The sequence below is a fragment of the Homo sapiens genome, chromosome 2, assembly GCF_000001405.40.
Source record: "Homo sapiens chromosome 2, GRCh38.p14 Primary Assembly".
Taxonomy (NCBI): domain Eukaryota; kingdom Metazoa; phylum Chordata; class Mammalia; order Primates; family Hominidae; genus Homo; species Homo sapiens.
In genome coordinates this window covers 215,052,472-215,078,240 of record NC_000002.12, presented here as the reverse complement: position 1 = coordinate 215,078,240, position 25,769 = coordinate 215,052,472, and the positions used below count along the sequence as shown (strand labels likewise).

At 37.7% G+C, this 25,769-nt stretch overlaps 1 protein-coding gene across 3 annotated transcripts in view; it reads left to right on the top strand.

Annotated features, from left to right (window-relative positions):
* The window catches only part of ABCA12 (ATP binding cassette subfamily A member 12), a 207,085-nt gene that overhangs the window by 60,386 nt on the left and 120,930 nt on the right, over positions 1 to 25,769 (top strand). For all 3 annotated transcript variants that reach the window (NR_103740.2, NM_173076.3, XM_011510951.3), the window contains exons 3-5: positions 14,022 to 14,175; positions 23,577 to 23,668; positions 25,657 to 25,754. Coding sequence is in view for 2 of the 3 variants with exons in the window: in NM_173076.3 (NP_775099.2) it covers positions 14,022 to 14,175; positions 23,577 to 23,668; positions 25,657 to 25,754 (344 nt within the window). In the remaining variant the exon portion in view is untranslated. The remainder of the gene's footprint in view (positions 1 to 14,021; positions 14,176 to 23,576; positions 23,669 to 25,656; positions 25,755 to 25,769) is intronic.

Genomic DNA, 25,769 nt, shown 5'->3' with positions numbered 1-25,769 from the left:
AAAATCTTAAGAAACTGCAGAATAAGACTGAACCACTAATAAAGCGGTATCATTTACTATTAATTGTGAGAATATCTTTCAAGAGCTGCCATCTGGCTAATGGCTAACCTGTTTTTTAAAAATGCGAGAAGAGAGATCTTGGGAATTCACATCAGGAGTTGAGCAAATTTTACCTTTCACAGGAAAAAGCAATGACTGCACAGGCAGCAAACGTGGTATCGTTTAAATAAATTAGGTTGTGTCTTTCTAATCTGTGGAAATTCCTTGAAAGGATTGACTGAATATCTGTGGTTAGGAGCATCTAGTGCTTTACGTTTTTTGTGTGTGATCTTCCCATAAGGCTATGAACAACTGTTGCATTAAGTAATTTGAGGTATAATTTAATAATAGATAAAAGGTCCGATCTCGGATTCCAAAAACCAGCTGAGATGGGCAAATATGTAAAATGAGAGCACAGCATTCATCGAACAGTGAGTTGACTTTTAGAAACCTAGAGACAATTTAAAAATATATTTGTTAATAATTCAGAAGCAATACAAATAAATGGCACATGTTTGCCAACAACCAAAAGTTTGAAGGATTATGAGAAACTCTTGCAGGACTTAATTTAGCTCGGTAATGGAGTAAACACAATAGCAGATGATGCTCAGTGGAGAGTAGATAGAGGTAATATATAATGGAACAGTTTGGAGTTATGCATTTAATGAGCTCTGAATTAGCTCTACCCCTCAGGAAGAGAAATCCCAGCTAGTATCATAATAAACAGGGCAAGGAGGACAGTGAGTAAAAAAATGAAACCTAGGTAAATGAGTTACCCACAAAATTGACAAAACCAAAGAATGGAATTTATCAACTCAGAGAGCATTGTTATAAAGCTATTCTTGAACTGGCTTGTAGGTAAGCTTACATTGTAATGAGCTGTCTCTGGTACTTTGTAACTAAAACCTAGTTATGGCCGAATGCAATTCCAATACATCATTATTAAGAAAATTGTGAAATATTTCAAACACATTGGCAAGCACAAAAATAACAGACCTTCATGTATCTACTGCCCAACTTTATCAGACTCTAATATTTTGATGTCATATTTGCTTCAGCATCTATTTGTGTTATCATTTAAAAGAAGTCAAACATTAAAGGTACCTTGGAGGCCCCTGTGTAAACCTAGTAGGTTCCATTTTCTCCCTCCCTTCCTGCCTCCTTCCTTCTGTTCCTGAAGGAAATAATTATCACTAATTCAGTGTGTAACATTCTTATGCTTGTTTTATATTTTTTACTACATGTTTATATACTTGACTACATCACATAGTATTATTTTGCAAGTGTCTAAATGTTATGTAAATAGCATCCCACTCACACATCCTTTTGTATTAAGCTTTTTGGGCTCAACATTATGTTTTGCTCAGCACTGTGTTGTGTAGTTTATCTCCATTGATTTAGGCAGCTTGAGTTTATTCACTTTGACCCATCTACTCCATGTATAAATATATCACAATCTATTTGTCTGTGGTCTTTTGATGAACACTTTCAATTTATTACCATAATGGATATTCTTTTATATGTCTCCTTTTGCACATGTGTGTGTTTTTCTAGAGTACCTCTCTAGACTTAGGCACATTTTTAAACTTTGTCAAATGTGGCCAAATGCTTGCCATACTAGCTTTATCAATTTACTTTTCCCCACCATGGGATGAGAGTTCCCATTCCTCCATATCCTCTCAACACTTGTGTTTTAAACTTTTGCCAATCTGATAGATGTAAAACGGAATCTCTTGGTTTTCCTGTGTATTTTGCTGAAGTATTTTCTTTTCAGAAAAAAAAGAACTTTTTCTTAGAAAAAGCAAATACTAATTGCTATGTTAAAATATTTTTAATGATAAATTTTAACTGTACAACGTGGGAACATACCACCAGGGAATTTTTGTCTGCTATTTTTCCCCTTAATGAGACAGTAACTTTGACGAAAAATGGATCTGCGAAGAGAGAGGGAGAAGGCCAGTAACATGTTGTGGGATACAAAGCAAGCCACGGGTCACATAAATTGTCTCTTTGCGATTGGCAGAGGTCTTGGTAAGGAAATCTTTGGTTGAGGAAAAAAGTCAAGTCTGATGAGAAGATGGGGTTTTGCTACCTGTCAGCAGTGCTGCTGGAAAGAAAAGGTTGTGACACACATTTTCCACTGGTGGGCTGTCACAAGTATCATTTGTAAATAGATGGAATATGAATACCAAAGACCTAAATATTACACAAACTGTTGAGGAGTGATAGGATCTGGAACCAGACTTCGAGCATCCCGAGTGAATAGACCATCTGTTGAATTAAAGAAGTGACTAAGCTTCTGCCTTGATGAGGTCTATTTTTTTTCCATACAATGATCCCAGCAATAAATTTCACTGGCTTTTAGTTTTACACCATAGCACACAAAATTCACTGTGATAATAACTGAGTCAGATTTCCAAGTGAAAAGATAGTTGTTAGTAACATACCTCTATTGGGGTAATTACTAAAATTTGTTTTCTCCATTTCATTACTTTTAATGGGTTATCAAAATTATATTTTGATTTCCAAACATAATCTTCATTTTAAGTGCTTAATACTTGAACATGCTCATCTCCTTTTACAGGGGATTCTTCTACTTGGAACACTTGTGATGGATGGATGGCCCAGATTTTTTTTTTTTCCTGCATAAATGAGGAAACTGACTCAAGATACAGGGTTATGATTGCACAATAAATCATTTGCAAAGCTAGGATTAAGAGGATGCTTTTTGACTCTCGCTCCTGTCTGAACCTTCACTCACTAGAGTACTTCCTGAAAATTTTGCCAATATATAGTTCCGGGCAATAACTCATAAGTTAGCTCAGGTTACTAGAAGGGCAAAGATTTGGGGAAGAAGTTGAAAAGGGCATTTTCTCTGATTAACTCCTAACAACTTTACACTGTTTTCATTATCTTTCTTGGTATTCTGTACACTGGTATCATGATGATGGTGGCCCAAATTGGCAATGACCCCTTTAGAAGTGTCGAAGGGAGAACATTACTCAATTTTCCCCCCTCTTTGCCTGCAAGTGGTAAACACCTCCATCTCCCTTCTGCTAAGGATTAGCCACTGGAATAATGGATCACTTTCACTGAAGCTCCCATGCATTGGTGGTGGGGGGTAAATACACTCTCACATTTGACTCACTAAAGTGAAGCCCTAAAGTGCCTGACAAGTGTGATTTCTCTCTGTATAGTAAAAGCTGTATCTATCCCAGTACATTTATTTATTTATTTATTTATTTTTATTTTTATTTTTTGAGACAGAGTCTTGCTCTGTCACCCAGGCTTGAGTACAGTGGCGTGATCTCGGCTCACTGCAACCCCCACCTCCCGGGTTCAAGTGATTCTCCTGCCTCAGCCTCCCAAGTAGCTGGGACTACAGGCACGCACCACCACACCCAGCTAATTTTTGTATTTTTAGTAGAGAGGGGGCTTTACCATGTTGACCAGGATGTTCTCGATCTCCTGACCTCATGATCGGCCCACCTTGGCCTCCCAAAGTGCTGGGATTACAGGCGTGAGCCTCCACGCCTGGCCTATTTATTTATTTTTATTTTATTTTATGGACACTGTGAACTCGGTAAATGATCACGTTTCTGTATTTCTTTGACACCCAGATCCAAATTTGTGGCCAACCTCTATCAATACACAGACCTCTGGCCCATATTATTGTATTGGCTTTATTTTTTCCTATCCTTGTTTGTTCTCATTCTGAGTCCGTCATTATTTTTCCCTATTATAGAGTGTGTACTTTAATAAGCCTCCTAAAATCCTTCTAGAATGAAACTCCCTTCTTCAGGCAATGTCTGAGATAGGTTTTGCTGAGGGACTCCCACAAATAGTAATGCACAAACACTAAGGTGCTTGCTGAATTACCATCTTTAAGCCTTATTAGTAAGGTGACAGTTTACAAATAAGTTTTAGTACATTAAGACTTGAAACCAAAATATTTTCTTATGTAAGACGTTTCTTCCTGAGAGGGGGAAAAACAACTTTTCAATTCCAGGCATCTTTTCAGCTGGGAATATGTGAGATCATGGATTAAGGCTCTGTTTTCCAAAGTGTGCCCCATGGAATATTCATTCCCAGGTTATTATCCAATGCTACCCTAAAAAACAGGGAGAAAAATTTAAAGAAGGAAAGGAAGACATGTTCTGTAATCAGATCATGGAAATCTGGAATTAACCAAAGTTATTCAGGTTTTTTACTGAAAAACTTTTCAGAGTCTTTAATATGCAAATATATTCTGGCTTTCCCAGAAGGGGAGATAGAGTTTAGTTTCCTAAGCTCATTTGGCCCCAGAGTCTGGTTTAGAGGAATCCCCGATGCTTCCCCACTCTACTCCTCCAAACCCCAACATCACATTGGAGATCATAGTAACAGGAGAGGAATTAAATCCTCAACTCGTTCTCTCAGTGCAGGCTTTGTGAGTTAACTCCTAGATGCCTAGGTGATCAGCAACACAGTTAACTATGAGCACAGCACTTCCCTCCTCAATCAGAACAGATGCAGTGGCACTGCAGGAAGTACCACTCCCCCAGTGTACCATTCCTCCAGGGTACCCCTCCTTTCCTGGATGCTAAGTGGTGTTGCTGGATCTGTGGAAAGGGAGAATATCTCGGTGGGGGCGGGGGCTGCAGCTGATGGGGCTCAGCATAGTGGCTCTTTACCCACCAGCACCAGGCCTTTCTGATATGACCAATCAGCACGGTCATACCCAGTGTATGCGTACCCAGCTTAATTCAGACCTGCCCAGAGGCTAAAACCATCTTCCTGGTTAGCCGCATCTAAGGAGAATTAGGAGGCTAAATTTTAGAGGGAGAATGTCCTACAATGAAATGAGATTCTAGGGGTCTATTTAAAAAAAAATTAATGTATATTTAGAGGGGAAAAATAGTTGCCAGGATTCTATTTGCAAATGGCCATAGCAGGGAGATTTTTTAAAAATGCAATCGTGAATCTTTGTTACTAAAAGACAAGTTTCAGAAAAGCAAAATGTCAGTTACTGTAAGGCTTATCTAACAAGACTAATAAACCCTACTCACCCCAGATGAGCCGTAGAACTCAACATTCCTTGTTTCTTTTCTTTCTTTCTTTTTTTTTGGAGGCAGACTCTTGCTCTGTCACCCAGTCTGGAGTGCAATGGCACGATCTTGGCTCACTGCAACCTCCGCCTCCTGGGTTCAAGCAATTCTCCTGCCTCAGCTTCCCAGGTAGCTGGGGTTACAGGTGCCTGCCACCATGCCCAGCTAATTTTTGTATTTTTAGTAGAGACAGGGTTTCACCATGTTGGCCAGGCTGGTCTCGAACTCCTGACCTCGTGATCCGCCCACCTTGGTCTCCCAAAGTGCTGGGATTACAGGCGTGAGCCACCGCGCCTGGCGAAGAACTCAACATTCTTTGTTAAGTGGAAATGTTTTGAAAGTATGAGTGAGATTTTTATTTTTAAACTTCCCCCAGATTCAGTTCACAAGGGAGTTTATTATCTGCCATGTATTTGTTACTGTTATATCTCCCAGCCTTGAATCAAAACATTTTGTTTAAAATTTAAATAGACCAGGCCATGATCTTTGGAACCCATCACCCAGCAGGGTCTCCTTAACATTCAGAAAAGACGGAGCTACATTTTGGTCTGGACATGCAGGAAGGTGGGGTTATGGAGTCTTCTGGGCTGACCATCAATTCAAGTGTACACTAAAGGGTCAAAGAGATAACATCCAAAGAGACAGCAAGGTCCTGAGTCCAGACTGCCTTCTAAAAACTCTGCTTCCCTTAAAAAATAATAATAGCAATAAGCCAACAATATAAAGAAGGCAGAGATCTTCCCCCAGTGCCTCTTGCCTATAGTTTCATAGCCAGAGTCTCAAGGTACAAAAAATGTCCCTATGTCCTATCCATAGGGACACTTTTTGTACTTTTCAAAATCCGTCTGGCTGTGGTACTTGGCAGCAGCTATGAGGGATGCAGAGGATGTCAGAAAGATCCCGACATTGTAGGACACCCACCCAAATGACCCAAGGTTTGTTCTTGTTCCTTGTGGCTGTAGCAATTGAACATATTCAGGTGCCAACGTTTTGAGTACAGGAACTCCTTAATCACTGCTTTCAGGATTAGGCATCTTGCCTCAGCCCTCATTACCACCTACAGTCTACCTTTTTGCCAATGGATTTGAACTTGGAAAAGAATCTGTGCTATGAAGTAAGACTTGCCTGGGGAGAAGGAGGGAGAATGTATCATGGCACCACACCCACTGAGCACACAGTAATTTAAACACTACAGCGGTTGATACAGGTACATATTATGAATTACTAGGAAGAGAAGTGCATCATCATGCAACACTCCAAACCATTCACTGGCTCAAGGCATGAGCCAGGAGACCAGGTCGAGCAGAGAAGCCACAGCCAGCAAGTGGAAAATAAGATGAATGATGCAAGAGAAGCCCGATGAGCAATGGTAACTCATGGTTCCATGGGGCCTTGTGTCTTCAATGCTTATAGTACCTTACACAAGCATTGCCTAATTGATCTTCCCTGTGCCCTGTGAGATGGCAAAATCCATTATCTTCAATTTGGGAGATGTGGAAATAGAGTCCTAGGTTAATTTACCCCCTGGTGATTCAGTGATTCAACAGCAAAACTAGAAGTGTACCTGTTTTTCAAATTCTCAGTCTCTTTCCTCCTCCAAGATTCTGAAGCTTAGCTGAACATGTTGTTTTCATTACTGTAATCTATCATATAGTTCTAGATCCATCTCTGGCATTTTATTGTTTATGTTTGTTTATTATTAATTATTTATTTGGACTTTGACCAAATTGCTTGATTTCTCGGAGGTTATCTACAAAATGGGCATAAACCCTCACCCTGCCTATCTGACAGAATTGTCATGGAGCTTGTATGAAATGATGTATGTTAAATTCCTTCAAAACCATGAAGATTTATTTTTTATTTTATTTTATTTTATTTTATTTTATTTTATTTTATTTTATTTTATTTTATTTTATTTGAGACAGGATCTCACTCTGTTGCCCAGGCTGGAGTGTTGTGGCATGATCATGGCTCACTGCAGCCTTGAACTCCTGAGCTCAAGCGATTCTCCTACCTCAGCCTCTGGAGTAGGTGGGACTGCAGGCACATACCAGCATGCCGAGATAGTTTGTGGGTTTTCTTGAGTGTGTATTTTTTGTAGAAACAGGGTTTCGCCATGTTGCCCAGGCTTTGTCTCGAACTGCTGGGCTTAAGCAATCCATCCGTCTTGGCATCCCAAAGTGCGAGAGTATAGGTGTGAGCCTCTGCTCCTAGCCGAAGGTTTATTTTTTAACCAATGTCTTTTGTTTGTTTTCAAACATACACTTTTTAGTACACAATATTTCTGGCAGTTCAGGAAAACAAATGATTTCTATATGCATTTTACTTAATAAAACTGTGATGACCTTGTAAACCAGATTCACATACTCTCTCTTTTTTCTGTCTTTCCATAATAACCCAGAGTAATATTTTTTAACTGTTAAGATGAACAATTTTTAATCATCATTCTCAGTAAACTATCACAAGGACAAAAAAACAAACACCGCATGTTCTCACTCATAGATGGGAATTGAAAAATGAGAACACATAGACACAGGAAGGGGAACATCACACTCTGGGGACTGTTGTGGGGTGGGGGGAGGGGGGAGGGATAGCATTAGGAGATATACCTAATGCTAAATGACTGACGAGTTAATGGGTGCAGCACACCAGCATGGCACATGTATACATATGTAACTAACTGTGCACATGTACCCTAAAACTTAAAGTATAATAATAATAAAAACATTTAAAAAAAAGATGAACGATTTTTTAAAAAATAGAAGAATGAACCCTACTTAACACCTTTCTTGGTGCCAAGCACACAATACCTGCCCAGTAAATATTATTGAATAGATGGCGAATGGATTCACTTTGTGGATAATAAATCCAGAGGTTGACATTTATGGATGTCAATGTGTATTAGTTAGATTTTCAGAAAAATCAATACTGAAAGGCTCTACAACAATAAATATTGATTTTATTAATCATTTAAATCTGTCTATTTTACAAGGCATGTGAATATAACACAATATTATCCCTTGAACTTACTATAACATTGGAATACAATTTGAATCTTTGTCCTACAAACGATAAACATAACGATGTATATTAGGTTAGAGTCTTGAGTCATGCAGTCTTCCTCGGACTCCCCCAGGGGTTCCTACAGCTACCCATTTATTCACATATTTAAAATTGTTTACAATGTGTGAAGCATTGTGCTAAGAACTATGTAAGGTTTTTTCTTTCTTTTAAATAGCTTATTTTTTTATCCAGTCTCTTAAAAAGACGCAATTTTACTAGGTTAGAGTCTCTATTAGCAAGTTCGAAGTCATATTGGTTTTCAGCCCTAGGCTGAAGTCACTCTAGGCCACATAGGTGTAGAAGCCCTCATTCCGAGGGACTGGAATCAGGAAGAACTGGTGTATTTGATTTTATCTGAAGGTGGGTGGTGGACAGGACACCTCCCCTCAGTAAGTAGACTGATCCCTCAAATGAAAGGTGCATGCGAAGGAGAACAGGAACAGATCTACAGGCTCCTGATATAATGTTACGAACTACTTTGAAAGGCCAAGTTTATATCATTTACAATTTAACTTGTCTTTTCAAGTGTAACCGAGAACAAAATGTGCTTGAAAACTACAAGAAGATTTAAAAAAAAACGTTAATAAATTATTACAAATATGCTTCTAAGATTCATTTCCTTTCCTATGCTTTGAAAATTCACATTTAGGTATTTGATTGTTTACAGCTGATGTTTTTGATATGCTTCTCTCATTCTGTACTCTTGATATGGTGTTAAGTCCCTGTTGTGGTGCTTGACAAGGAGACATTATTTGCACGATCAGAAGGCCTGACACTTATTCTGCCACTGTGACCCTGTATCCAAAGAAATTAAGAAAAAAAAAAATGCTCTCAAATGAGTAACTCCATATTTTTTTTTTTAAAAGTCAGAATTTTCCTTCCAAAATGTATCATTCTATTCTTCACTGGGGTAAAGACTAAATGCCTTTCACCTGGAAATATAAAAATACCAACTAGGTTGTCTTCTGAACTGTTTTGAGAAAAACAGAATGAAACAGTGGCAAGTGTCCGATTCTACCATTGCTATAATGTGTACAAATGTCACCGAGGCAGCCTACAGAATATTTCTGGAGCCTAATGATTTCAAATGGAAGTAGCTTCATTCCTGAAAAGACCATGGCATAACTTTCTGCAATAATAAAATAAATAGAAAATAGCACTTCTCTAGACAGTGCCAGTGAGCAATGTGCTCCTGAATTTATTGCGGAAGTGAGTCAAAATTCTTCTATGGTGGTGAAAAAGACAAAGTAAAGGAAGACATTGAGAGACAACTGCATTCTTGGCTGCATCAATGAATACAGAGAGGGGAGCAGGGAGGAAAGGCAGCAGCAGGAGGAAAAGGGAAAAGAAGAATTGGAAATTGAACGAAAAGAGGAAGTAGTGAGTGAAAAGGAAAGAAGAAAACATTAAGAAGTAGAGGAAAAAGAATTAAGTCGATTAGATGCAATGAGGGAAGAGGAAAAGAAGGATGGGGGAGAAAGTGAAAACAGGAAGTGAACAAGGCAGGGGAAGGAGGGAGATGCCTGTAAGAAAGGCTATCCTTCCAGGAGTCAGCAAACTACAGCCTGTGGGCCAATTCCAGCCTATTGCCTGTTTCTGTAAATAAAGTTTTATTGGAATACAACCAGGCTCATTGAGGCACCCATTGTCTATGGCTGCTTTCATACTATAATTGCAAAATTCAGTAATTGTAATGGAGACAGTATGGCCCACAAGCTTAAAATATTTACTGATTCTCATGAAAAGCTTTGCAGTCTAATCCAGTGGTTCCCAAACTTCACTGTGCATCAGAATTACCTAGAGAGCTTATTAAAACACAGACTGATGAACCCCATCCCCAGAGTTTCTGATTAAGGAGATCTGGGGTGGGATCTGAAATTTTTATTTCTAATAAGTTCCCAGGTGACACTGATGTTGTTGGTCCAAGGATCAAACTTGGAGAACCATCACTCTAATCTTTACATTCTGTCACACTGACAGTGTTCAGAATAGATTCTTTTGAGAGGAAAGGAAAAGGAAAATCAAAATTGATCTCCCTTTGAGGTAAACATTACATATATCCATTGATATCACAATTATTTACAAAGCATACATTTAAAAAATTCTTAGAACTGATTCTTTTTGTAATTCTAGTTTCATTCTTATAGCAATGAAAAATGAATCTGATTTACTTTAAAGTTGAGTTAACTGGTGGTTTGTTCCCAAAATTGTTTCATAGTTTGGTTTGATTCAACTCCTTGAAATAACGTGGACTGTGTCAGTGTTATGATTGGACAGTGTCAATGAGGTAGACTGTATCCATTCAATGAGAATGACCTCTCTCCACCCATGAGTGGCTGGCTCCTCACTGCCTTTGCCTGGGGCCCCTGAGAAACTAAGCCATAACCAGCTTAGGATTTTGCCAACCAACACATACCTCACCCTACTCCCAGATGATGCTGACATCTTCTGAATTCGACCCTATGAAATTGGCAGATTCTTCAATAGCTTTTCTCCTGGAGATGGGCATGAATGTTATCCTGGGATGAGACTTTTGGGAATCATGGTACCATGGACTTTATCCTGCTTAAACACTCTATCTCAAAACCCTGCCTGAGATTTTTTTATTTTTATTTTTACTTGTATAGGGCTGCCATGGTTTGCACAATCATGGTCTTCCTTTACTTGTGTCCTTAAATTTGTGCTTTGGCTGGGAACATAGACACTCAATTATTAGCTTTAATTTTGCAATTCCTATGCTTGCTGCATGGAAGTTTCGTGAAAGAAAGAGAGAGGCTTCTCTTTTTTCTTTATCCTAGCACTGGGGAACTTAAAGGGGAATGTAATTTCAGAACTGAAAGTGCCAGAAACACCTTCAAGGATAGAATGCGCTGAAGTCAAAATTAGCAGCTCTTTAAAATGTGTAACGGTTTGATTCCACCATTGCTCTTTTTATTTGTATACATAACTGAGATGGGAAAAGAATGGAAAAAATATCATTTTTTTTACAAGAAAGCTACAGGAAATTTAATTCTATTTAATTCAGACATTACTTCTAGAGGATTTCCAGAATTTAAAGTTCATGTATATGAGAAAGTATATTATAGATGTCAAGGAAGGATGAATAACATAAGTAAATGTTACATGCCTAGCACAGTACATGGGATACAGTAGATACTTAATAAATCACTGTTGTTATTGTTGTTGCAACAGGCACCCTTACATTGATGAGGGTATAGGCCTTGATTAAAAGATTACGGCAAAACAAATAACGCAAGCCATCCATGCTCTGCATGGCACTCTGTTAGCTGAAACTTGTGCATGCCTGAATCAATTCCTCATTTGCACGATCCCATGTAACATGTTAAAAATCCATTATCAAAAAACTGTGCAAAGCATAGACTGTCTATACTTTCAACACCATGGGAGTTTATTTTTAAAGAAACTCTGTGATGAATTTTCCTATAAATTAGGTTTGTCCTCTGTAGATATCATACCAAAGAATGTTGTGGGTTAAATTCCTTCAAATTCCTCTCAAATCATTTGCAATTTGTAATGAATGCCAGGAAAGGTAATTTGGATGTCACCGAAAGCTCTTTTTTCCATGACATCTTTTTCCTTCTTTCCCTCTCTTTGTATTGCAATATGGCTTTTCTTGAGTGTCTCATTTTTTTCAGTACTGCCTGACTCAGCCACGCCATCATGCTGATAAGTGGCATAGAGCAGAGGGGTCATCTGGTCATCTTTCTGTTGCCCTTCCATCTATCTTCCATTCAAATCAGCCACTCCATGTGTTTGACAGAGAGTAGTAATAAATTCATTTGCAGCCCTATACCCTAAGTGAGAGGTTACAGTGGAGATCTGTGTAACAGAGTGCATTACCATGAATGGTAAACCTCCACTGCAGACTTTTAAAGGTCTTGCCATATGCAGTTCACTGTGGTAAAATTTTGTTTCGGAGGGATGACATGAAAAGCTAACAGGCGGTTTAGCAGCTACTCTCTATTTTATTCAGGGAATTGCATACAGTGAAAACATTGTGGGAAATTATTATTGGTTCACTGCAATTTTCACTTAGGTTTAACATTAGGAAAGGCACCAATCTCTCTGGTGTCAAAGAGGGTCCACATGGAAGGAACTAGTGAATAGTTTGGTGGGCTTCAGTTCTCTCCAATTTCTTCTGAGTTTTCAAATCTTTCATTCATACTGGTATTAATTTTTAAACTATTTTTTTCTATAGTTACTGTGATAAATTACCCCAAACTGAGTGTCTTAAAACAACACAAACTTATTATTTTACAGTTCTGGAGGTCAGAAGCCCAGAATTTGGTCTCAGCGAGCTAAAATCCAAGGTCTCAGCAGGGCTGCATTCCTTCTGGACCCTCTGGAAGAAAAGCTGTCTTCTAGATTGTTCTAGTTAGAAGTTCTAGAGGCTCCCCATATTCCTTGACTTGCAGCTTTTTCCGCCATCTTTAAGGTCAACAGTAGAGCATTCTCCAATCTCTCTTTTTCCCTCTTTGCTTTTCTTCTGGCAAGCTTTCATATTTTCCCTTCTTTATTTTTTTCCCCCAGCTCTTTCTTTATACAGAACTACATTTAAGTTACTGGAATCAAATACCTATTTATTCTTTCTACTGGTAGATTAATGCATGGCCATGTTGCTCTTACCATTCTCTCTTTCTCTCTCTCTCTTTTTTTACTTTTCTCCTTTCTCTTTAAAATGAAAACAGACCTGTACGGGCACTCTTTTTTTTTTTTTTTTTTTTTTTTTTTTTACACATTCATGCGGAGATTAAAGTTTTGCTTTTTAGCCTTAATTTTCCTAAACTTGCCTTTTTTGAAAGTTCATTGTCTGTGTATTCCCCCAAAGGAAGAAATCTAGTGTTTTCATAGCAAACCTAATTGTGAAAAGATGTGTATTTCCCAGCTTGCCTATTGTCATGACTCGTGTGTATGCCATCATCGTATTTTATAAAGGAAATGTTAAAGTTTACAAAACCCCTCACTATGAAAATTACTGTTTTGTATGACTTTAATTTTGGAGAAAATTTGCATTTTCATTCATACCATTCACTATTGGTTTTTAAACGGGAAAAAGAAGTTGTGTATATAGGATAATTAAAATGTTAAATTTTAAAGAGACCAAAAATAGCTCCTGGTTTTTGGAAGAATGGCTGCATTTATACCTACTTTGATTACAAAAGAAGACATGTAAATTGTGATAAAACACAGTTAATATACAGTCAAAAGGAAGAAAATAAAATGAAATACACTACCCAGGAAAAAAGCCATCAATCAAATTTTGGTGATACAATCTTTTGGATTTTTTAGTACATGTTTGTGTGTGTGTGTGTGTGTGTGTGTGTGTGTGTGTGTGTGCGTGTATTAAAAGATTAGGACTCTTCTGTTCATCTGTTTTCTGATCTGTTCTTTTAAACTAACAATGTGTCATAAACACTTTTTGTATTAATTGACAACATTTGTATTGGCTGCTTTGTGTTTTATCATGTGGATACACTGTGATTTATTTTTAAAACATTCTGGCAAACATTCTTGCAACTACCTGTAAGTATTTCCTTAGAATAAATCCCAGGAAGGGAATTCATGGGGTAACCAGGCATTTTTAAATGTTTTTATACGTATTAGCAAATCCGGAAAAGGGAAGTTAAACATAACACCCTCCAAGACTGCTCCTACTCAGTGGTGAGTGTTAGTTGCAGAGTTGGGGCTCAGTTGGGGGACCCGGAGAGTGGTAATCCAGGAGGTTAACTTCACAAAGTGGAGTTACTGCATTTATGTTCTTTCCCAGACAAATGTGCCATACTGATGTAATGACTGTTTTTTTAATTTTAGGTTACCTCGCACCTCGAAACCTTCCTAGTACTGGATTCTTTCCATTCCTGCAGACCCTACTCTGTGACACAGACTCTAAATGCAAAGACACACCCTATGGCCCACAAGATCTGCTTCGTAGGAAAGGAATTGATGATGCACTATTTAAAGACAGGTGGGGGCACTTCTCAAGTGTGTTCAATTGTTCTGAGAGATCAAATCTTGTTTCCTTCTGAGATAGCCAGGAAGCCATGCAAGCTTAGATATGCAATTTTGTTTTCTCTGTCTATAAATGTGATGATCTAAATATGAAATAACAAAGTAGGTATAAACTGGAATAACTGTTTATGTGAGATTGAGTACAATCTACTTTGGGTGAATGTCTCAAATTTGCTTTATAAGATGGGTGACTAAAGTAGTCCTCCTTTACATCCCTCAAAGATTCTCTATCCAACCTTAAATTATCAGTGACACATTGCCTGAGACTCATCACAAGCATGAGATGTCGTAAGTGTAAGATAAGTGTCAGGGCCATCATCCTGGAAGAATCACATACTGGTACTACCATGTGTGATACTTTCAGATACAATAAAAACCAGGAAGTGCAAAAAAGGAAATTAAGCGTCCTGAAATTCAAAGTAATAAAGTTAAAAGTATACATAATTGAATGACAACCTTTAAATGAGGTTAATGCATGTTCTACTTTATGGTGTAAGGAGCAGGTGAAGAATGAATAGGGAATCTAAGCCATTAACAACCTGACCATTTACAACTTCAATTTTCCTTGCTGGGATTCTAAACCTAAAAAGACTCCCAGAAGCCTATCTGTCTTCAGAACTGAAAACAATATTGTAATCTTGAATCAACCATGCGCTAATTCTGTTAGAGATATTTTTTGAGTATCTCTCAAGAAAATATTATATTTATCTATAATCGTAGATATTTAGTTGCCAAATTTAATACTAAATTCCCTAGCATGTAGCACAATTTCTCCTTTAATACCATTCTCATTATTTTGGTCATCAAATAATCTAGGTGATACTTTAAGAGTGCAACTGCAACCCGTTTATCAAAAAATATAAACATGTTAAGAATTGTCATGAGACACAGCTTGGGACCCCTAATTGCTGGGATGCTGATTCACACTGATTTTGTTGTTTCAATAATTAGGCTTGATGCTTAAAAGAATCTGATGTTCATTCATTCATTTATTAATCTATTTAAAAAACAGATTAATAGACTGAGAGGCTTCTATGTGCCAGGCACCATTCTAGGCACTGGGATACAGAGGTGAATAAAACAATTTCTCTATCCTTTTTGCATTCTAAAGGAAGGGAAAGCAACAGCATGATCAAATAAATAAATAGCATAATTAAATAATAATGAGTGTGCTAGTGAGAAAATAAAGCAGTTTAACAGGTAGAAATTATAAAGTAGGGATTTAATAGAGTGTCAAAAGAAGGCCTCTGCTAGAAGTGACATTTCGGTAGAGACCAACAAGGACAAGGAAAAATCAGCAGCAGCATATGAATATCTGGAAGAGAGTGTTGCATGCCGAGAAACAGCAAATGATCCTGAGGTGGGGACAAACCCAACCATTTAGAAGAGCAAAAAGTCAGCTAACACGGTTGCAATATGGCAAGGGATGAGGAAACGGATTGGGATACGTAGAAAAGGAACCTCAGAGACCAGAGCATGCAGAATTGATCATGAAAGAAAAGGTAAGGGGATTCGCATTGTGTGTTTAGTGTAAGGAGAAGCCATCTGAAAGTTTTGAGTGGGGAAATGACATGATACATTGTCTATGAGAACGGCACAGTTCTAGGCATATACAAGCATGACCTCAATGAGCACCGGTGTGCAATTAATTCTGTAAGAAGACCACTGCCAGCTAGTGTCTATTCCCTCTTGTATAATCAGTGCAAAGGTGGGATGGAAGAAGAATGGCATTCCTTCTTGTTCCAATGTTGATGGTCTCTATGTTTGTCACTAAGTGAGTGATGAATTAGGAATAATGTATGCTGATGTTCTAGCAGCGGAGGGAAAACATTAAATCAATAACAATAATAGGAGATAGAACAATGAAGACTGCCAGAGGGAAGCTGAAGCAAGACACCCTCTATACTTAAAGCAGAAAGAGAGCTTTCAGCTAGGGTAATCAGGTAAATCTTCACAAAGAGGTTTACTTGAGACAGACATTTTGTGAACCAGGCATTAGAGGAGCTGTGAGAAAAATTAATATCCATCATTTACAAATTGGATTACCATTTTACAAAGAACTATAAGGGACATAATTAACAGTATCTAAGAAGTAGACAACTATAGTTCCCTCTAAAGAAGTATTTGTCTATCTAATATTATAGACAACCAAATTCATGGGGTTGCATGAGATGAGACACTGAGTTGGTTTTGGAAGTAGGATTAAAGCCCAGGTGTATTTTTTCATCTGTTGATTATTCTCTAGATGGCTGATCATGTCTGCTTTACTTAATTTTAGTTTTACCTCCAGGTAGTTTATCTAGCTCAAGTTGTATATTGCTGTATATTCACTATTTTCTCTAAACTACTAAGTAATTGGAGTTTAATTTATAAAATTATGTACAATAATAAAGTTGCATTAATGATATTTCCCATCATGCTATTAACTTTTATGCTTTATATAGCTGTGCAATGAAACTGGCATATATTTTACTGGATAAACAATTCCACTAAAATTGCTTCCCTTTAGTGAAGGAAGATTCACCAGCATAGCCTCATTAGGAAACAAAACAGTCTTCCTTTTCTGTTCTATAAGTGAGGGGAAAAATGCCACCTTTGGTCTCACCAAAAGAGGCCTGCCATGTTTCTTTTAATAGAATGCTCTTCTGAAAGACATGATCACACTGCAGTCACTACTTGTTGGCCAGTCGCCAAGTGTTTTGATGTGATTTTGCGTCTGGCACCAGCCTTCTGTTATTAAATTTATACATCTCTAAGCATTAGCTTCAGGATGAGATGTTTAAAAAAAAATCCAACACTGTACTCAGCATCGACTCTAACTAGCTGTCTGAAAAAAGAAACTATTACGTTTATGGTTTTCTTGCTCATTTGCACAACAGATGATCCAACATCACAGATCTTACCCTTTTCTTTCCTCCTTACACTGCCTCTCAGAATCTATCAGCACAGTGGGAGCCCCTGGCCATGTGCCATTGCTCACACAGTTGGCGAATAGCAAAGATCATCCCCTAGAGCATACAGGGTCATTATTTGGAGAAGGGATTCAGCTTTCCTGAGATCCTGGGGGCAGTTTCCTCTGTGGATTTGCTCCCTATTTCTGTTGACACTCATTCATGACCTGCGGCTTCTAAATTCGTACCTCTGCTCCTATTATATGGCTCTTGCAGAACTTGAAAAAATATTTAATCAGAGTTTAGTCGGGTCAAATTTTAAAGTGCCAAGGCTTTTGTTTAATATTGAAAAATATGGATGAACTTAGAAACTGACCAAAAGATATTATTAGGAGTGTAAGATAACTGGAAGTAAAACAGGTGTTTGCCTTCATTTGGTTATATAGATGAGAAAGGATGTAGAGGTCTCTTCTTGTATTAATTTTAGATTAATTTATAACCATTTAGTAACCATTTTAGCTAAAATCAGCGTAAAAAGAAAGGGCAATAAGAATTTAAGAGTTTTAAACTTTCCTCTAGCTTGTTTTAGTATTACATTTTTGTTACTACATAGTTAAAATCACAAAGAGATACATGAATTGGAACATAATTACATGTAATTTAAACAGAAACATTGATCATTATGAAATAAAATTGATAAAAGTGAAAAAAGAATGGTTAAAATTTTATTTATCAAAAAACAAAGTAGAAGAATGTCTTAATTATTATGTAAGCACAACCATTCATTCAATAAGAATATAATGAATTCGTACAGCATGCTGGAGGCTATGCAAGTCACTATAGATACAGAAATGCATGAGGCATATGCCTTGCCCTATATAAACTTACAGTTCAAGTGGGAAAGAGAGACGGAGAGACAAGATAACACGTAAACTGCTATATAACATGGTAAATGTAATGAATGTCTGTTTAAGTGTCACTGTGCCCAGAATATTAGACAACAAATGGTGAATAGTTACACAGGTACCATAAGACATTGTTTCTGCCTGAGGAATATGGATCTTACTGGAGAGTGTATTAGTGAAGTGGAGATAAGTGTGGGTGGGCAGATGCCAGGAGAGTTATTTCAGAGGCTTTTAAGAGTGTCGTCATTGAGAACAGATAGGGTGGTGGTTACCAGAATAGCAGAATGTATATTTGAGATAGGTCATGGAGAAAGAATGCCAGAATTCAGTGAAAGGGAAAAATAGAGGCAGTTGCATAGTTGGCGTACAGGAATAGGCAGACAGCTTTGCTACTGACTGTGATGGAGAGATTACACATTTCCTTGCAGTGTTGCCAAATTAATCTGCTTGTTTCATGGTTAGGTAGAACATAATCTGCACAGTGTCATCTGAGAGACACAGTGGTGTTATCTCCTTCTCCCCATATTCTATGTGTTCCTGACACATGTAGGATACCCCCTAATCTGCCCATAATAATAGCCTGACAAATTTTAGAAATGTATTAGTTAGCCTCTACTCACTATATACTATAACTAACTCCAAAGTCTTTCCTAAGAATATAAAAAACCCTAAGACACAGTAACATATTAAGTCATTTCTAAATCTTAATGTTTTAACTGATATGGATTGTTGGATTGTAACTGGGCCACTTATAAGAGATATATGTTTGGAATGTGGACAGATATCCATAGCTGAAGTATGGATGACCCTTAGGGAATGAGGGTCAGGATGAAATATGAATAATTAAAACAATTAAAATTCTCCTGTGGGTGACTTGTGTTTGGGATATCCAGGAAGGACAACTGCGTCAAATCACTGAGGGGGCCTCAAGACCATTACAGTGTCCTTAGTCCTTATTTGCAGTTAAAAGTTAATGACAAATGTCATCTGGAAGTGGGATCAGAACTAGACTTGCAGAAAATCTCATATGTTTCCAGGTGCCACTACATACCCATGTAATTCTAATTCTGGGGAAATGAGAAAAAATACATATACAAATTTAACTAACCCTTAGAGACAAAAAATAATGTCAGAATTTTCTTTCCAGGATTTGCCATATGTCCCTTTCCTGATAGGAATTCCTCTTATAAATAGATTATGCCATGGCACACAGTACCACTTATACAGGTAGTGACGTTTCCTACTCATAGGAAAAAGACACCCAGTGGAAGTACATGCATTTTACCATTAAGACGATATATATAAATGTGACATTTCCTGAACGTAACTATTGGTAGACATGTCTGAGAACAAGTAAAATCTATTCAGTGTTTAGTTTTTTTTTCCTCAGAATGATGGAATTCTTAAATCCAAAATGTTTCCTGTATTGAATTCCACTCCAAAATAGAGCCCTATAAATGTCACTGAGGCAGAATCTACATCTTCACTATCTTAGAGGAGTGGCCCTTAGCCATGCCCATCGTACCGTGCATGTGGCCGGGTCCAGTAGAAGTTAGTAAGCTGATGCCATGGGCCACTTGGTGATTTGACTCAGGTTTTGTTGGTTCACCCAGAGGGTTGAATTTTCTGGAATCAGATGGGCCTATGTCCCGAATTCAGTGGACAGCTAAGTTTTGTGCAGTACTTTCATATGCTTCCCAGAGATATCCAGTATGAGATAGAGTCTCTGAGACTTCCTTGGAGCTATTTAGAGTTCCTGAATAGGATTTTTATCTCTCCTGATTTGGTTTGGTCATGGGGACTGGAAATGGGGATGAGTTGAATAATTCCATTATCTGTCATTGCACAGGGTTTCTCAACCTTGATTCTCAACTACTCATAACTGGGACCAGATAATTCTTTGTTGTGTTGTGCATTGTAGGATGTTCAGCAGCACCCCTGGCCTCTACTCACTAGATGCCAGTGACACTCCACGCACAGTTGTGACAACCAAATATGTCTCCAGACATTGCCAAATGTCCCCCGGGGTAGGGGTATTATCCACACTTGAAAACCACTGGGCTAATAGAAGGCTGAAGGAAAAATGTTTCTGGTTGCAAGAGGCTTGCATTAAGGATGTGAGTAAGGATATTGCTCTATAACAAACACAAATGGGACTAACTCAGATTTAGGGGCCCTGTCATGTGTTCCAGTCCTCCTTTGCACATGTCCTTACTTAGCTATTCTCATTAATGTACCATAATCCCTGGTTTTCTTATTTTACTTGCCCATTATTTTACATATAATAAGAATGTAATCAATGTTGGTGAGTTAATGAATGAATATGGTAGGTACGATGTAAGATGATAACTTTGGGGCTGTGGCTGGGTGTTTCCTTTTCTAAGGATCCTTGCAGAATCAGATATGCAACAATGGAGAGCAGGCCACAGCCATTTAAAAAAAGTTGCTTTAGTGGTAAGTTGTTCCAAGTAATGTTCCTCATTATCAAGTATCCAGTGCTTGTCATGTGCTAAACATCCTACTATCTGCCAACATAATACACTGTAGGCTTTTCTTAAGAACCTTACACTCTAAAAAGGGGGAAATTGGTAAACACTACTGGTGGAATATTTATCTCATAAACAGATAAAAGTTACATAAACTCATAAAATGAGGAAGGGGTTACACGGCTCTGGGTGAGGGCCTGTGCCTCATTCCATATCACTAGTAAATACTTGTAGGTTCCAGATCTATAAAATAATGGGATACATCCATTTGGTATCCGGAGCTTTTGAAGTTTCTAGGATTCTAAAGGGATTACATCTAAAATATGGGCCTCCAGCTCCATATTGATGGTGAAGGTTGCATCTTTGCAACATCTTCTTTTGTGGGTACTCTGACCAAGAGCTAATATTGATGAGTACCTATGATGACAGGGCCCAGAGAGACTCTTGGTACACACACCTCATATCATACTCATAACAACCTTGCAAAGTAGGTGTTATTATTGCTAATTTGCTGGTGAGGGAGATGATGGCTGAGATCTTTTAGGAAGAGAGAGCTGAAATTCTGAAGATATCTTCTAACTCTATAAAGTACTTTCTGCCATACCCCAACAATATGGTCTCTTTTTATTTAATCAGCCATCAGATCTTATGGTCCTATACTATGTTAGATATTGGGAATATAAAGATAAATAAGACATGGCAGCTTTTCCTAAAGATGTCACAGCTGAAATAGAAAAAGTGGTGGGAATAGGTACAGATAGATATGAAATAAGTGTGCACTAAGTGCTTGTGTGAAGTAACAGGAAGGTGCTATTTCTCAACCACTGTTCTAAGAAGCATGTAGTGCTTTGTCTATAAACATGATCCTGCTCATTAGAAACTTCAGGGAATGCCATTAACTCAGCAAGACCAGCTACTTTCTTGCCCTCTTTAAGTAATTTAATAGGGAGTTAATAGAATTAATTACCTTTGTTTGGGGGGAAAGTAGCTGTGTTTCAATTTACAGCATTAATTCATCTTTTTATGCACATACTCTGTTGTACATTTATTTTGTGATTTCCATTTTAAGAGTTTAAAGAAAACAGTTTTGATGTGTGATGGGAGTAGACACGTGCTGTCACACCACACCTTGTCAATGCAAAATGAAGCTGGAGAATATTTTCAGGAAGGGGAAGAGGAAAGCACACATGATATCCAACTCTTGCTTCCAAAAAAAAGACACATTAAGGCTACATAAAAGATGTGGGCAACCATGTCACACTGGGCACTTCCTGGTGAGAGAAAGGTGCTGTTAGAATGGGAGCTGCTGTGCGTCCTTGTCTAGGAGCAGTCATTTTACTGTTGAGCAAGCTCAGAGCTGCAGAGCCAGCTGCTTGCTGAGAAGGGAATGAGTTTGTCTTTCCATGGTGTTTAAATGCTATTTGTAGGAGTAATTTTAGGTTTCGTTTCTGAATGTGGGAAGATGAGTAAAGTGTCCTCCGTGGAGCAGATGCAGCTTTTGCTTCTCCAAGAGCACACTTGCTTAGTTTCCTATTGCCTCTTCTTTCTTTTCTTCCCACTTCCTCACCACCATTCATTATTGAGTCTATTTTCTCTTGCTCTTTCCATTGCTCATTTTGATCTTTGTCATCCTCCCTTTTGTTTTTGTTGCTGTCCCTAGTCCTTAAATTTTTATGAAGGCAGTTTTTGCTTTTGTCTTCAAAATGTGTTGATATTCAGTAGTCCTCATAGGATTTCAAGCCAAACTAAAAAAATGTCGAGAAAAAGAAAAGTAAACTCAACTTTCTCAAACTTTCTAAAACTTCTTTTTGAGAAAAGGGAAAATGTTCAGGTCATTTCTTATTTTTACCTGAACAATTTTCCCATCACGTAGTCAGCATAAGGAATGTAAAAAGATTAGGGGCATACAGTCAGGGTCATGAATAATTCAAATATATATTAAGAATGCAGAACTTTTGGAGCAAAAAGTACATTTTATGGAGAATATTGGAAAAACACTAGGGAATGAAAACAAATATCACTTCTTTTTCTTTTTCCAATTATAAACACAAAGTACCCTGGAACTAGGATTCAGATCTTGTTTCTAAAACAGAAGTCAAGTTGAACCATGGTAGTAAGCAGAATTTCTTGCTTTTCCATTATCTTTTTATAGCCATTGTTACGTACCTTAAGGTTTTTATAAATAACTACATAAAATACACCAACTTTTTGGAATTCTAAAAATTATTTGCATCCTGGCATTTAGACTGATTTTATTTTTGAAACATACATACTTATTTTAGGCACGAGCTTTTAGATACATCCAGTTTTCAAGAAAATGTGATCATCTCCATTTTAATAACAAACTAAACAAAAAGCGAATTTTTAGAAAAGAGGGGGTTACTAATTGTGGGAAGGCCCAGCAATGTCTTCTTCTAAAACCTAGTGTGATCATGTTGCACAGGGATTCCTGGCACCACAATGTAATTATTACTGCCTTGACACATTCAATGCAATGGAAAATTTATTTTAATGTTATTCCTTTTATACTTGGTGCCATCTGTGATGACATCAACCACAATTCCTGGCACATACTGGGTATTCAATAAATGTTTGGCCTTTCTCTTCTTCCTTGAACCTGTGTTGAAAATCTTTAAAAGGCCATCTATAATTTAACATAGAAAACTTATTTTTCTTTTAATGTTGACAAATAAGCAGACCTTTGTTTCAGTCCCCAAAGCACTCTTGGATTCTCATTTGTTTGGGACCTATCAACTTTTTAAAAGAAAAATATATATCATACATATTTTAAGTATTTATCTCTAATGTCTTTTAAAATGTCCTTTCTACAAGATTAAAGTAAAAATAACTATTTTAAACTTCATCTAGGCCATTTTCTCTGAATAAAAATATACTTTGTAGGAGACCTTATATATTCATTGGTGTGTGGTTAGGTGAATTCTTCCATTAAAATCCTGGAAACTATATTAAATATTTGAAAGTCCTCAGACAGCCCTGGAATCTGCCACATAATACATTGCTGTAACTAAAATTAATGTGGGAGAAGTTACAGAGTTCTTGCTTTTTCTTCTCTAGTGAGATTCTGAGAAAGTCATCCAACCTGGATAAGGACAGCAGTTTATCATTCCAGAGCACCCAAGTTCCAGAAAGAAGGCATGCATCACTAGGTAAGCTATTTTCTTCTGTAGAGTTCAGAACAAGCCTTATGGAACAGTAAAGGTCTAATCTTTGAAAGGTTTATACTTTAAACTTTTCAAACAAAGAAGGAATGCTTAGAATAGCCCTGTGAGATCTAAACGTTCCTCATGGTTGCCTGAGTATGGCGGTGCAATTACGCAAAGGTGTTGAAAATAATTAGAAATTAAGTTCTTACTGAAATACTCCATAGGAGCAAAAGCCTACATGTTGAGAATTGCACCATTTCCCAGAACTGACTCTAGACTCTTTAGTTGTCTGCAATTAGATGATGCTGGGATGGGTTAGAAAGCCCATTAATAAAAATTTTTGGAAAGAATCTCAGAGGTTTGTCCAGATTTTCCATTTTACAGATGAGAAATATGAGGCTCAACAAAGTTAAGTGCTGTATCTACAGCCATACAGCAGAGCTGGCATTAGAAGGACTTCCAGGCCAGTACTCTTTCAGCTGTACACTTCTTCCTCACACTTAAGGCTTAGTATCACAGTCTTCAGTGTGACTGTGGACTTGCTTCACATCTAGGCCAGTAGCTCTCAAATTTTCACGTGCAGAGACTCTTCCTGAGTTGCTCCCTCAAAACATGCGTTTCTGAGCCTTAGGTGCGAGTGATTCAGTTGCAAGTGGACTTGAGAAACACTGATTAGAAGCCACATGTTAAAAAAAATAAACGCTCGAAACAGCACGACTGGCTAACATTCATTGACAAATATTTACTAAGTCCCTAATACTAAGCAGCCACTGTCTTAGGGGCTGGGGATATATTAGTGAACAAAACAAGATTCCTGTACGTTGAAATATGATTGGTGCTCTGGATAAAAAGGGAGTTTCTTTAAAAGGCCATGGGATATTTAAGACTTTATGATATTCAATAACATTCCAATGCAAGTTGATGGAGCAAGTAAAAAAAAAAGTCCTATGTTAATGTAGCAGGAACATGGTGGTGAATGGTTTTGAGGAGTTAATGTTCTGTTATGAATGATCTGTGGGTCTTTGGCTGAGTAGGTTAAAGCACCGTAGAAATAAGGTTATAATGTTATGGTCCAGTAAGCTTTGCTTTGCTTGGTAGCCACAGATTATGTTTCTCACTCTGGCCAGTTATCTCACAAATATATTGCCATAGTCTAAAGGAATCAGATGGCAAATTCTTCAGCCCTGTGGGCACAAAAATAAAGCCTAGGCCCTACTGCTGATGAGTCACTGGTACCATTGAATATTAAGATTCTTTGCTCTGAGGATGACAAAAGACTTCTGTATTAAATTTATAAAGGTCAATATACTGGCTTAATGAACATCCATGTTATAGATAGGAATGTCGTCTTCTAGCTAATGCTCCAAACCCAGAAAACTCTGCCACATCATAAATAAATAATACTAGATGTAGATGCATTGGGAATTACTTAATTAGAGTATACTGTATGTAGTCCAGGCTAATGGCTTTATCCCATTTATTTGATCTAAAATATCATTCAGAAACCACTTTGAGGAGAGAATTTATGATTCTAAGCAGATTTCGGTGTCCCAATTGGATAATTAAAAGAAAAGACCATTATCACCAGATGTGCATTGGCAGATCCTTTGAACAGATGTTGGATATGATGGATCTGTGGAGCTAGTGTAGGCACCTCAAATCCTCCAGGCCTGCACAGAAATGATTCGGTTTATTGGGCAATAATGTTGGTGATGAAGTTTAATGTCACCGACTGGAATGAAAGCAAATGACATCTAAATGATTGGATAAACAACAAGAACAGACCAAAGTCATCACAATTTTATATGAAAAGAAAAACTCATGGAATTTGCCACTTTTCCAGTATAAAACTTCCATGGAAGAGGCATGTTTGAGCACATCCTTGCTGTAGGGTATATGAGGTCACAAGTGATGTTTATGGATTCTCATGTGGTCCTGTGCATTTGTGTGTGTGTGTGTGGAATGCTAATCTGTTCCTTCTTTGATTACAGCCACAGTATTTCCCAGTCCAAGTTCTGATTTGGAAATCCCCGGAACATATACTTTCAATGGCAGTCAAGTGCTCGCACGAATTCTTGGCTTGGAAAAGGTAACTTGATTCAAT